At 45.2% G+C, this 13,573-nt stretch overlaps 1 protein-coding gene across 3 annotated transcripts in view, besides 6 other annotated features; it reads right to left on the bottom strand.

Moving 5' to 3' along the window:
• RAB12 (RAB12, member RAS oncogene family) overlaps positions 1-9,933 on the bottom strand; it is a 29,947-nt gene extending 20,014 nt beyond the window's left edge. For all 3 annotated transcript variants that reach the window (XR_001753165.2, XR_001753166.2, NM_001025300.3), the window contains exon 1: positions 9,417-9,933. Coding sequence is in view for 1 of the 3 variants with exons in the window: in NM_001025300.3 (NP_001020471.3) it covers positions 9,417-9,930 (514 nt within the window). In the remaining 2 variants the exon portion in view is untranslated. The remainder of the gene's footprint in view (positions 1-9,416) is intronic.
• Positions 179-679: an enhancer, noted in NCBI's record as "H3K4me1 hESC enhancer chr18:8618689-8619189 (GRCh37/hg19 assembly coordinates)". NCBI's record gives its function as "activates a minimal SCP1, AML or CMV promoter by ChIP-STARR-seq in naive H9 embryonic stem cells {active_cell/tissue: H9 hESC(naive)}" and the evidence as "EXISTENCE:reporter gene assay evidence [ECO:0000049][PMID:30033119]".
• Positions 680-1,180: an enhancer, noted in NCBI's record as "H3K4me1 hESC enhancer chr18:8618188-8618688 (GRCh37/hg19 assembly coordinates)". NCBI's record gives its function as "activates a minimal SCP1, AML or CMV promoter by ChIP-STARR-seq in naive H9 embryonic stem cells {active_cell/tissue: H9 hESC(naive)}" and the evidence as "EXISTENCE:reporter gene assay evidence [ECO:0000049][PMID:30033119]".
• Positions 3,996-4,817: an enhancer, noted in NCBI's record as "H3K27ac-H3K4me1 hESC enhancer chr18:8614551-8615372 (GRCh37/hg19 assembly coordinates)". NCBI's record gives its function as "activates a minimal SCP1, AML or CMV promoter by ChIP-STARR-seq in naive H9 embryonic stem cells {active_cell/tissue: H9 hESC(naive)}" and the evidence as "EXISTENCE:reporter gene assay evidence [ECO:0000049][PMID:30033119]".
• Positions 8,646-8,695: an enhancer, noted in NCBI's record as "active region_13062". NCBI's record gives its function as "activates an Ori minimal core promoter by ATAC-STARR-seq in GM12878 lymphoblastoid cells {active_cell/tissue: GM12878}" and the evidence as "EXISTENCE:reporter gene assay evidence [ECO:0000049][PMID:35858748]".
• Positions 9,146-9,445: a silencer, noted in NCBI's record as "silent region_9272". NCBI's record gives its function as "represses an Ori minimal core promoter by ATAC-STARR-seq in GM12878 lymphoblastoid cells {active_cell/tissue: GM12878}" and the evidence as "EXISTENCE:reporter gene assay evidence [ECO:0000049][PMID:35858748]".
• Positions 9,876-10,105: a silencer, noted in NCBI's record as "silent region_9271". NCBI's record gives its function as "represses an Ori minimal core promoter by ATAC-STARR-seq in GM12878 lymphoblastoid cells {active_cell/tissue: GM12878}" and the evidence as "EXISTENCE:reporter gene assay evidence [ECO:0000049][PMID:35858748]".

The raw sequence follows: 13,573 nt of genomic DNA, 5'->3' as shown, positions 1-13,573 counted from the left end.
AAGTTACAAAAGTGAAAATGGCAAAAACACACGGAAACTTCTTTCTTTACACTCCTTTCCAGTAAAAAGCCTAACCACCACTGTGGTCCACATCTAGGACTACGGCCAAGCGGACTGTGCCCTCTTCTTCCATGCCCAGGTCACTTCTCCTCGTTCCACCAAAGATCTGGAGTTTGGACCAGACCATAGATTTTACTTAATACTTTCAAGAAGTTGAAGAATTTCCATAGACTTGGAAGTAAGTCTCAATACAAACAGTAGTTGTCACTGCCAATTTATAATAATGACCTTAAGTTTTATATAGTGGCTGTTCTTCCAAGGATGTATCTTACATAATGTTAAATTGGATATAATATTCTACTAAGGGATTGGATTGTAAGCATTTTCAGTGAGTTGTGAGAAAATAAATTAAGGAACATGTTAAGGTTACAGAGAGAGGCAAATCTAGCATTAAAATCAAGTCATGTGGGCATAAGGCCAGTCTTCTGCCCAAACTCTACCACCTACCGGGGAAGAGTTCAAAATGAATTCTCGTCCCATATAAGGAAAAGAGAATGTGGCTGAGCACGGTGGCTCACACCTGTAATCCCAGCACTTTGGGAGGCCAAGGCGGGTGGATCACGAGATCAGGAGATCAAGACCATTCTGGCTAACACGGTGAAACCTCGTCTCTACCAAAAACACAAAAAATTAGCCAGGTGTGGTGGTGGTGGGTGCCTGTGGTCCCAGCTGCTCGGGAGGCTGAGGCAGGAGAACGGCGTGAACCCGGGAGGCGGAGCTTGCAGTGAGCCAATATCGCGCCACTGTACTCCAGCCTGGGGGACAGAGCAAGGCTCTGTCTCAAAGAAAAAAAAAAAAGAGGAAAAGGGGATGCAAACTCACTGCTAGTAGACCTGTCTTGTGACATCCTACTATTTAATATTATCTGGCTTTTCCTATCTAACCTGTGTGGTAAGGATTTAAATAGAAACTAAGTACTATAACTATAAAATATTTTGATCAACTCAGAAGCAGGTACTATTAAAATCCTAATGTTACTATGCGTCATTAAAAAAATGCTTATCCAGGCCTGAGGATGTCAAATTGCATCCAGGTACAAGAAGACCTGTCCTCGCTTGCACTCCAGGGTTGGCACGCTCCCACCCAGCAAATAAAGCCCACCCTGTACACAGAAGCACAAGGAGACAGCCTTGCACTTGACTGGAACAAACAATGACACCACGGACTGCATCAGGGAGGGGAGGACAGAGGGACAGTTGGAGGTCCTGGGCCTCCAAGGAGAGGCGTGGCTGGAGCCCAGCAGAGTGAGTGGACAGTTCCTCTCATGGAAGTGTACACACGTATGAGAATTCCACAGAAAGGTGTATGTTCTCTTCACAAATGAAAAGATTAAGAACTTTTGTGGTGTTTGCTATATTTCAGATAATATTCTAAGGGCCTTATCTACATTAACTTATTGCAGTGTATATTCATTAACAATATTATGAGGTATATATTACTGTCTATATTTTATAGATGAAAAAACAGAAGTCAGGGAAGCTGGTAGACTGCCTAAGGTAACCAAGCTGGTGAGCATGAGGGCACAGATTTGAACCTGGGTTGCCTGGCTCCCGGCTGTGCTCCTCCCTGTGCACTGTGCAGCCCCACCTGATGAACAAAAGGCAGAGGCTGGAAGGGAGCTAAGAACATATATTTAAGGCTGAAAAAGAACTTTGCATTGCTAGGCAAGTATATAAAATTAACAGTAAGACAGGGTGGATGGCTGGTTGGCTGGGACAGACTCCATCCCTGCACCAGGAGGCCTTCTCTACTCCTTGCCTTCAGACAAACCCCCATCTGAAATGCTACCATGTTATTTGAGTTCCTGGTCAAAAGAGGAGGAGAATATTTAAAGGGAAGAGATTAAAAAAAAAAAAACCATGATCAAACAGTGGATTATTAACATTTTCTTCATATGCAAAAAAATTGAACTTCACTACTACTCAGAATGGATCCATGAAAACACAGGGACTGTCAAACAGATTATGTTTTACCCAGGACATGTGATTACATTTTGAAATTTATATCATCTGTATATATCAGTGTGTATCATTAAAGGGTAAGGATTTTTTTATGGAGTGTTTCAGAGTTTTCGGATCTACAGGATAAATTAGGAAAAGAGAATTAAAAATTGTCTTTTCTATGCCAGACATGTAAGATATTTTAACTTCATTTATGCCTATACTGTGAGATGTGAAGAAAGTGTAAATCCCACTTTGTTTTTCTTCCTATAAGTGAAGACACTGAGGTAAGCTGCTTGCCTAAGGACAGCTGGCAGCCTGTCCTGGAGCTGAAACTTACATGCAGGACTGTATGCCTGCCTCCAAAATCTCTTTCCACAAGTGCCATGGCTTGGGAAGACAGTGGTGGCCAAGGAGAAGGTGGAGTGTTTTTTCTTTTTTGAGACAAGGTCTCACTCTGTCACCCAGGCTGGAGTACAGTGGCATCATCACTGCTCACTGCAGCCTAGATCTCCCTGGCTCAAGTGATCCTCCTGCCTCAGCCTCCCAAGTAGCTGGGACCACAGGTGTGCACCACCACACCAGGCTAATTTTTCATTTTTTTTTTTTTTTGTGGAGATGGGGTTTCGCCATGTAGCCCAGGCTGCTCTTTTTTCTTTTTAAGTAAAAAATTAAAAGTGAAAATTTGACTGCAGGTGTGTGATTCTTTAGCCAATCGACAAGTGTGTTGAGGTCCTACCACACACATGGCTTGAAGAGGTGAGAGGAAGCCAGCGAAAAACACAAAGCTCCTCATTTATAGGGGCCTATTCCTTCGCCCAAGTGCTGACGTGGAGTTGGAATTGCAGGTTGTTTTGTTAACTAGGCACCAGAAACCAAAGGGTGGAGTTTGTCAGAGTTGGAGGGAAAACATTTTCTATGGAATCCAGTGCTCTGTTCAGCCTGTGCTGTGCTTCCCAGTTTCACAAGTTTTTTTTTTTTTTTTTTTTTAACAATCACACTCAATTAAGGGCACAATTTTTGGTCTGTAGTTTTGGCTTTCCAAATACTTTCCAAATGTCAAAGACGTGAATTAAAGGACAAAAGGAGGATGATAAATGTCTTCCTCAGCTGAAGCAGGAGGCACTCTTTTCTAACACTTATTATGGCTACCTCCGTGACTCACCTCCTCTCTGAAAAGGGTAAACCAGGTGTGAGCTTTGTGCCCAGGGGAAGGTCGAGCAGGATGGTGTCTTATATAAATACAAAATGCTGCTTAAAACTATTTGTAGAATGACTACTGTACAAAGCTGTTTTCTTTACAAATTCAAACTAATGCTTATTTGGAACAACGTATCTGGCACCCAAGGATAGAGAATAATTTGGACCTATCAGTTCTCAAAGGAACCTACTCTGCCTTCTACAGCCAGTTCCAAGATCCATTAACAGATGGCTTCTGGCAGATTCCACAGACCAGAGGGAAAGAGGCAATCTCTAAGAATCTGGATCTCTGTCATGCATAATAAAATCTTTCTTTTTTATTGTAAGTGCAGACAGTGAAAGGCTGAATGCACTTCAGCCAGGTCTTTAAATAGATTTTTATTCAACATAAACAACCTAACACCAACTAAATCTGCATGCTTTCTCTGAAAGATAGCTACTTCAGTCCACAAAAGGGGACGTTTTGTCAAGCCTCTCAGCTTGCATTAAGTTCATTAAATAAACCTAATCACACAACACACAGCATATGTGGGTATAAGAACTAAATGTTGGTTCCTCTCACGCTCACATCCCTGAGTCATCATGTTACATCATTTTGGCAGGGGAGTCTGTGTGAGGTTCTCTCCAGATGGAGCAAAACCACACTGCAGGGCTGCAGAGCTTGGGCTTTTGGAGTGGGAATTCTGGATGATTTTCCTTAATTCTCTCTTAAGTGAAACACGGGCAGATCGGTCATGGCTTAGAAGACTGTGTACAAATACAGTATAGCAAAATAAAATACACAGTTAAGCATTTAAGTCCAGTATGAGATGCTCATTCTGGGTTTTCTAACAAAAATCTCTGCCCTAAGTTTCCAGAATAAAGTACAAGTAGTCAATTTCCAGGTGAAGACCCTGGTGGACTGCATTTGACTTGTCATGCCGCCTAACATTCAAGGGCAGACCCCCAGAGAGCATTTCTGCAAGGGATTCACACTCACCCGTTTCTCGGACCCCTCCATTCTGCTGCCAGCTCAACCGCAGGTCCAAAGAAACGGAGTCACTCGCACTACCCTACTTCCCCAGCGTAAGCAGTCTCAGGCCGAGGCCCCACCAGTGGGCATCCTGAGTGCACCCCCATGTCAACACAGGCTAGAGGGGAGTCAGGCAGAGAGCACACAGGACTGCGGCCTGCAGCGGAGTTAAAGGGCTTCACCGAAGGGCTGCCATCCTTTAAGGGGGCCAGGCTGTGAAGTTTAGAGCACTGCCGCACAATGAGAAAAATGAAGATAAATTTAAAGAACTTTTGGCTGGGGGTGATGGCTCACACCTGTAATCCTAGCTCTTTGGGAGGCTGAGGAGGGTGGATCACAAGGTCAGGATTTCGAGACCAGCCTGGCCAACATGGTGAAACCCTGTCACTACTAAAAATACAAAAATTAGCCAGGCGTGGTGGTGAGTGCCTGTAATCCCAGTTACTTGGGAGGCTGAGGCAGGAGAACTGCTTGAACCTGGGAGGCGGAGGTTTGCAGTGAGCAGAGATCGCACCACTGCACTCCAGCCTGGGTGACAGGGTGAGACTTCGTCTCAAAAATAAAAATAAAAAATAAAATAAAAAACTTTTAAACTGTGGTATCTTATCTTTCCTAATTTTTTTAAGTCTTTTTTTTTTCTTTTTTTTTTTTTAATGTTCTTACTTGGCAAAATAAAGAACTGGCAATCCTATGCTGGCCACCAGCATTCTGAAGGAAACTTTACTACCCAGAAAAATCAGAATTCTGGTCCAGATTGCCTTTCTTTGACTTCTCCTGTATTCAAATATACCTATTTTGGTATGTAAAAGGCTTAAGACACTTGAATTTGAATGATGGAATATATAGATTAAAAAGCAGTTCTTGTAGCATTATTTTAATTCAAAAGGCAAGTGACAAGTAATGACAGGGGCACACTTAAAGAAAATCAGTTTCACTAATACCATAGGATAATTATGTCACTATCTTCACAGGGCTGTAACAAGGACCAAATTCTAAAATGAGGAAAGGGCTCCATCATGTCTGACCTTTATGTGTGTGAGCCATTAGTATTTTCAACAAAGCAAAGTCAATCTAAACCTGAAAGTAAGCTAAGGAACAGACAGAAAGATAGTTAAAAAGAATTCACTTGCAGCCCTTGGCCCTGACCACTTGCTGAGCAGCTGTGCCACAGCAGGTAAATTTCTACCTCTCTGAGACTTCTCGTCCTCATCTGTAAAACGGGGATAACTTTCAGGGCTGTGATGAGGCCTTCTGCTGGTGTAGTAAGTGCTCACCATATAGCAGTGACCACTACTACTACTACTACTACTACTACTACTACTACTACTTCTATTTATAGGCACAGACAACTACATTACTTATCCAAAGTCACAAACTAGTTAGTGGCAGAGCCTGGAGCAAGAACCCACATTTCTTATTCTTACTCTAGTGTTTTTTCCAGCATGCAATGCTGTTGGAGCAAGGGCGGGGGTAGGTTTTTAAAAGGTAAAACCATTTCAACCTAAACAAAATTAACAGCTAGCTTCCAACAGTAACATAGAAATAAAACAAAGATTGACAGATATGTAATTTTATGGAGTTGTTTTTTGAAATATACTTTTAAAAAAGCACATTTACCTGTTTATGCTAAAACTAATGAGAGTCAAACAGAAGGAACCAAGATCAAGAATTCGGCATTGCTAGATAGAAATGGTTTCTACAGCTTCACTCAGGAAGCAATAATGTCAACTTGCAAAAGCACACACAGATTCATGGTGGATAAGTATGCTTGTGATACAGGCACTGCTATGAGGAAAATAGTGGACCAGGCATGTTAGTTGTAAATTTCTTTAGTCAATTACTTTTTTCTGTTTCTCAAACTTTAAAAAGCTGCTCCTGTACTTTTTAAAAGAACTTGTAAATTATAATCAGACTAATTAAATTCCATGAAAACAAAATCCCATTTGAAAATATGAGACAATTCCATTAGACAATTTCCATTAAACAGACCAATCAGTAAATACAACCTCTGTTTTTCATACCCTTGTGAATTTTGTAAATCTTTTAAACCAGTTTCTGATTTGATTAACAATACAAAAAACAACATTTTGCTCATTTATAATTTTACATAATAGTTCATCATCTCAAATCCCTAAGGACTTCCACTACGGATCTTTTATAGAAAGTTCAAGTGAATCCCATTTACTTTAAAAGGGCACTTACTGGTCAGGAGCAGTGGCTTACGCCTGTAATCTGAGCACTTTGGGAGGCCAAGTGCTTGAGACTAGGAGTTTGAGACCAGCCTGGACAACATAGCAAGACTTTGTCTCTACTAAAAATCAAAAAAGGGCTTGGTGGTGTGCACCTGCAGTCCCAGCTACTCAGGAGGCTGCGGCAGGAAGATTGTGTGAGCCTGGCAGGTCGAGGCTGCAGTGAGCCATGATCGTACCACTGCACTCCAGCCTGGGTGACAGAGCAAGACTCTGTCTCAAAAATAAATAAATAAATAAAAATAAAAAGGCTCTTAATGGAAACACTCTCCTAGCCTAGGAATTAGACAATACTACCACTCTAGTGACCCATCTTGGTCCAGGCACACTCAGGGACTCTTCCCTGGGCCATGCTGTGAGGCTCACGGTCTTTCCCAGACGGCTGTCGCGAGCAGCCCTGACAGGGTAGGGAGAAACTCCTACTGTGGAAGAGACTCTTGCTCTATATGGAATTCACTGCACTACATGAAGATGAAACTAGAAAAACCAGCCTGGGAAGAACCCCGGGAGCTAACTGCTCAAATGGTAAGCGTTCAGGTAAGGCAACCACAATTCTACACCACACCCAGTACCATATTTAATTTGCATTTTTCTAAAGGAACTAGAGGAACAAACTTATCTTCAAACATTCCAATGACGAGGAAGCCTTCTCTGACCAGGCCTCATCACTAGCCTCGACTGGAGGCGCTTTCACTGTGCTCCCAAATACCCATACACATCTGTCACTGCCCTGACAAGCGGTCACGCAGCTCCCAGAAGCTCCGATCCACTTCTGGACAGAGTCGATGTCCTGTTTACCACTGAATCCCCACTGGGTAGCATAACACCCAACACACAGTAGGTGCTCAACAAACGATCTGATGAGTGGAGGGGAAAAGCAACTCTGAAGCAGAAACTGAAGTGGAGCTGGCTGGCGTTCTCACAGTGTCTTCCCGCTCTGCAGCAGGCCAGGGGCCATGATCATTCTCTGAACATCCCACAGTTAGAAGCACGCACTGAGTACTAAAGTACTCCAGTACTCTAAGTATTATAGGCTACATGTGAAGCAAACAAAAATGAGCAAGACAGAAATTCAACCACACTCAGAGTAGGGAGTATGTGCTCGGGTAAGTGCATGTTTGTTAAGGGACACAGAAACAAACTGCTTGGTCTCCTTGCCTCCTGGTTTCTTCCTTATTCCCAAGCATCCTCCGCAGCTCTTCCTTATTCCCAAACATCCTATGCAACTCTGCCAAACTGTTTTCGTGCCAATGCCTTACTAAGGAGTCTTTTGGTTCCAGGTGCCCATAGGATCGGGTCCATTCTCCTTAGCATGGCGGTCAAGGTCTCGCAGCATCCATTCCCAAGTCCCCTAAGGAACCCTCCCCAGAGGTGGGGGGCTGCTCCACTGCTGCCAGGCTTAGAAAATCCTTCTTCCTCTCTCCTCTTCTGCATTCTAAAGCACACCTTTGCTCATCCATCTCACCCTCCATCCACTCAAGCCCTCAGTTACCCACCTATGGGTACCTGATTTCTCTTCATCACACAGTGCAACTCTATTATCTCTCATTTTTATATACTGAAGTACGGAGCCATAAAATATTGACAATTCTAAACGGAATTTAACCCTACTTTATTTATGTCAGGTACTAAAATAACAGCCTAACCCTCATTTGATGGTTTAACAACTCCCTGTACTCTGCATGATCCAAGACTGGATATTTGAAACAGGTATAGTTATGCTACTCATTTTAATATAATGTCTCCAACGACAACATTTTAAAAACATATGGTACAGACATCACAAATATTTCCAAAATGATCTATTCCAAAAAAGCATTAAGGGAAGTAAGTTCTTGAAAACAAACCAAGAAAGACAGTACAAAAATTGGAGGTTTCACTTTCCAATAAGACACTTTAAATGTAGTACTGTTTTGTTACATGACAATTTCAAATCAAGTCATCTCAAAATCGTACTGACAGCCTTGGAACTACCACTGGTTATAACACTATTAATAAATAGAATTACATGAAATTATGCTTTTAATTCTATCAAATCTCCTGACTACTCAGTTTCTTGGACCGCCCCTGGGGAAATCTCTCACTTCCTATCACGGAAGTGACTGCCCTTTATTTTAAAGAACGGGGTTCTCCTAGTTTGGACATCTTTTAAGGGGTTTTCCATAGAAACAACTGCTACCCACATCCAACTGAGAAATCTCAATGTCAAGTCCTCTAAGCATGACTTAATTAAAAAAATTTCCCCTGCAGTTTCCATTTCAGATCCACGGCTGTTTTCCTCCTTGACCCTGGAGCGTTCCTGTACTTACTTCACTCCTGTCCCTCACCGAAAACAGCGGTACTGGAGGAATCAACCCCATGCCCGCCAGTCACCGGGTTGTTTGAGGTCATGGATAAATACAGCTGAAGCTCCTCTGCCCCGTACGTACGGCTAGCACGAGAAACTTACTGTAGTTTTAGTTTTAACATTCTCCATAGGTGACTTTAAACTTCATTTCTTGAAAATGGGTTCAAAATAAGAAAACTGCCCTGGTTGCGCAGGGATCACACCCGCAGCAGACGGCGCGCGCTGGCCTTGGCGGGCCGGGCGAGAGCGGCCTTAGGCGTTCACTCCCCTGCCTGCCTGCGCTCCACTCGAACCCAGCTTTTTCTTGGGCGAGTATGCTAAGGGCCGAAGTTTCCGTGGAGAGCCGCCCCCACAGGCCCCGGGGGCTGCCAGGACCTCTGAGGCAGGGCCGGGGGCCAAGGGCAGGTCTGCCCGGAGGCGGCACGAAAACCTCTGCCAGGCTTTGGGATTGGGATGCAGGGCGCTCCAAGGAGACCCCCGCCCCTAGTTTCACCGAGAGGCCCATCCCCGAAAGACTCCCAGGCTCGATGAGACTCGAAGCCCACGGGGCGAAGGGCACCTGCCCGGGCGCCAGGAGGCCCGGCCCAGGGTCGCCGTGGCGCCCTTACCCACGGTGGACTTGCAGGCCTCGCAGAAGGTGTCGTCGGTGAAGCGCTCCATCAGGCTGGTCTTGCCCACGCCGCGGGAGCCGATAATGATGACCTGCAACTTGAAGTCGGCCGGCCTGGGGGGCTGCTTCCTCCGGCGGCCCTGGCCGCCCGACAGCGCCGGGGAGCCCGCGCCCAGACCGCCGCCGCCCCCGGCCCGCCTCTGCAGCGCGGCGCCCGGATCCATACACGCATGCGGCTCCCGCTCGGCCCGCCGCCCGCCGCCGCCCGCCCCCCGGCTGCGCGCCCCGGGCCCCGGCGCCCCCTCGGCCTCCGCCGCGCGCGGGGGGTCGGCCCCGGGCTCGGCTTCCGCCCGCTGGAGCGGCCCCGGCGGCCCGTGGGCTCCGCGCTGCAACTGCGCCGCCGGCCGGCTCTCTGCGCCCGGGTCCCCTCCTCCTCCTCCTCCGCCGCTGCCGCCGCCGCCGCCGGGAGAGGAGGAAGGGAAGCAGCTACTCCGCAGTAGCGGCAGCAGCATCCCGGACGAGGAGGGGCAGGAAGCGCAGGCGCGGGCGGGGCGGCTGGCCGCGAGGGGCCGGAGGCGGGCGGGTGGGCGCCCCCTGCCGGCGGGAGGACCGCGCGCCCGGGCCTCGGTTGGGTACTGCGCGCGGAGCTTTCCCGCAACCCGCGCCGCTCTTTCCCTGCCTCTGCTCGCCTGCCCGCCCCCGCTTCCCTCCCTCTTCCGCCGGCTCTTTCATCTTTTCTTCCTCTTATCTCTTCCCTTTTCCCCCTTTTCACTCCTCCCTACTCGGCTTTCACTCTGACCCGCATTTATAGTTAACACAAGAAACTTAGTGTGGTTTTAGTCTTAAAATTCTCCGTAGGCAATTTTGAACTTCAGCATTCCGGTGCATCATGAAAATGGGTTCAAAATAAGAAAAAGAACCCTGGTTGACAGTGAAAACACTCCCATGCGCACAGTCCCCAAACACCATGCACATGTTTTCGCCCCCGCGCGCTCGGTGTAGCTGGAACGCTGGAAAGGCCCCGACCTGAGGCCGCGCCGCCGGGCCGCCTGCGCTGCGTTCGCGTCTACACCAGCGCTCTCTCACAAACACCAGCGGGTGCAAGCCCCCGCACCCTCTACCGGGCCGTGGCACTGCTCGGTCTCTCTCCGTCACGTCTGTCTCCCATTTTGCACGGAAACGCGCGAAATCAGTTATTTTTAACTCTGATCGCTGTCTCACTCAGAGTTCAGAAGTTTTTATGCTGTTTAATTTTTAAATTAAGTAAATGGCATACTCCTTTGGGGGAATAAGCGAGTTAAAACTCAAACAGTGCGAGAAGATTGAAACTTTAGGAATTATGGACTCGGGTCGTATGTTTTGCCATTTCTGTTTGGAAGGATTTAAGGATACAGAAAATCACTGCTGATTCCTTGCCAGAGATTTGTTTAGCAAATTCCTCAGCTTGAACTTGAGCATCTCAGAACACAGGGTTCTGAATATGATAGGGGCTGGCAACATTTGCCGAATGATCACGTTACCCACAAAATTTCAGCTGTGCTGTATTTAGAACTAGGTTTAGTAATGCACAGTACACGCATATGTTACACAGCAAACCTGATTTGTAAAAATCTAGCGTTGCCCACAGTGTAGATTGGAAGTTTACATCTATGAGAGCATTCTTAACTGTGCAGTCACTGTAGGGATCTTTATAATATGAATTCTGAGAATATGTAAAATATGATCCCTCTATATTATTTGAAACACAGATCCATCACTTACCATCACGGAATTTACTTTCTTTCTTTCCTTCTTTCTTTCTTTTTCTTTCATTTTGTTTTGTTTTGATTTTGAGACAGCCTTGCTCTGTTGCGCAGGCTGGAGTGCAGTGGTGCGATCACAGCTCACGGCAGCCTGGAACTCCTGGGCCCAAGTGATTTTCCTTGCTTAGCCTCCTGAGCCGCTGAGACCACAGGCACGTGCCACCACGCCTGGCTAATTTAAAAATTTTTTGTACAGTTGGGGTTTTGGTTTGTTAACCAGGCTAGTCAACAGTGTGAGACCCTGAACTGGCCTCAAGTGATCCTCCCACCTCAGCCTTCCAAAGTGCTGTGATTACAGGCATGAGCCACTGTGCTCCGCCGCAGAACATTTCTTAGCTGTGGGTTTCTCTTCTGTTCTATGAGAATGAGAGTAGTGGCCCCTCCTTTCCTCTAGCATTGTTAGGAAAAAAGCAACTAACAATCTCTGCAGTCTGCTGCAACCATAAGGCACTATATAAATGTAAGGGATTAAAGAAACTGATTTATGCATGGCTTTTCAGGAATACTGTGATTTTACAAAGCAAGACGCATCTGCAAAGGTAATCTCAAGATTTTTAATTTGGTCCATTCTGATTAATAGCACCGCCTGTCTTAATAGGCAGATGCATGTGGCATGGCTTGTGGGGCTGAAGACCTTCTTGCCCAAAATAAAATATCTTCCCCATAAGGTAGATCTGTAGTTTCTGCCACTAGAATAATTAATGAACTAAATGACAGAGGTTGGGCAGTGTTTCTGGAGGACAGGTAAGTGCATATTCACTATTTTAAATCAATTATTATAGTGCCCCTAATCCCCTGGGAATATGTCCCAAGACCCACAGTGGATGCCTGAAACCTCAGAGAGTATAGAGCCCTCTATATACTATGTTTTTTTCTATACATACATACCTATGACAAAGTTTAATTTAAAAATTTGGCACAGTAAGAGATTAACAATAACTAATAATAAAATTCAGTTGACCCTAGAACAACATGGGTTTGAACTGTATGGGTTTGTTTATATGCAGATTTTCATCCGCCTCTGCCACCCCTGAGACAGTAAGACCAACCCCTCCTCTTCCTCCTCCTCCTCCTCAGCTACTCAATGTGAAGATGACGAGGATGAAGACCTTTATGATGATCAACTTCCACTTAGTGAATAGTAAATGTATTTTCTCTTCCTTATGATTTTCTTAATAACGTGTTCTTTTCTCTAACTTACATATTTTGTAACTTACAATATAATATTCTTACTAGACTACAGTAATGTATATAGCATACAAAATATGTCTTAATCGACTGTTTATGTTATCAGTAAGGCTTCTGGTCAACAGTAGGCTATTAGTAGTTAACATTTGGGGGAGTCAAAATTATACACAAATTTTTGACTGCATGTTGTCGGCACTCCTACCAATCACATTGTTCAAGAGCCAACTATACAATTACTATGAAGATATATACTGTAATAACAGTTATGTGAATGTGGTCTCTTTCTCTTGCAAAGTATTGAATTGTACCGCACACGGTATCAGTCCACAGTGCTCCAGCACCTGGAACTGTGCCTGACACATGGTACAAGTTAGTAAATATTGGTGAAGTGAATGAATTAATGAAATTTTTATAGCTATCTATATCCATAGATATCCATTTTCGTAGATATCCCTATAGAACATTTCATAGTTTATCCATAAACTTCATTGGCTCTTTGGGCTCTGTCTTAAACCTAGACACCCCATATCCTGCTTTTTCCTAAAAAAAAAAACCTCCCTCCTATCATTTGGTGAAGTCTCCCTTTTTCACTGTCTTCACTTTAACAACATCATCACCACCTGAGGTGGATGATGTGGTTTGGCTGTATCCCCACCCAATTCTCATCTTGTATTGTAGCTCCCATAATTCCCACGTGTTGCGGGAGGGACCCAGTGGGAGATAATTGAATCATGTGGGTGGTTTCCCCCACACTGTTCTCATGGTAGTGAATAAGTCTTAGAAGACCTGATGGTTTTATAATGGGTTTCCCCTTTCACTTGGCTTTCATTTTTCCCTTTTGCCCGGTGCCATGTAAGACGTGCCTTTTGCCTTCCGCCATGATTGTGAGGCCTCCCCAGCCACGTCGAACTGTCAGTCCACTAAACCTCTTTTTCTTTATAAATTACCCAGTCTCAATTATGTCTTTATCAGCAGCATGAAAACGGGCTAATACGGGGGAGAAGTTTCAAGTATAACAAAGGCCAGAACCAGAAGAGTATGTAGAGTAAGAAACAAAAGGTCAAGAACAGAGCTCCAGGATCACCAGCATCCAAAAGATAAGCAAGAGAAGAGAAGCTGGAAAGAAACCTGGGATGGGAGGGAGGGGATACTGGAGATAGTGAGG

Source organism: Homo sapiens, chromosome 18 (assembly GCF_000001405.40).
Source record: "Homo sapiens chromosome 18, GRCh38.p14 Primary Assembly".
In the NCBI taxonomy this organism is placed as follows: domain Eukaryota; kingdom Metazoa; phylum Chordata; class Mammalia; order Primates; family Hominidae; genus Homo; species Homo sapiens.
This window is presented reverse-complemented; position numbering and strand designations above follow the sequence as displayed.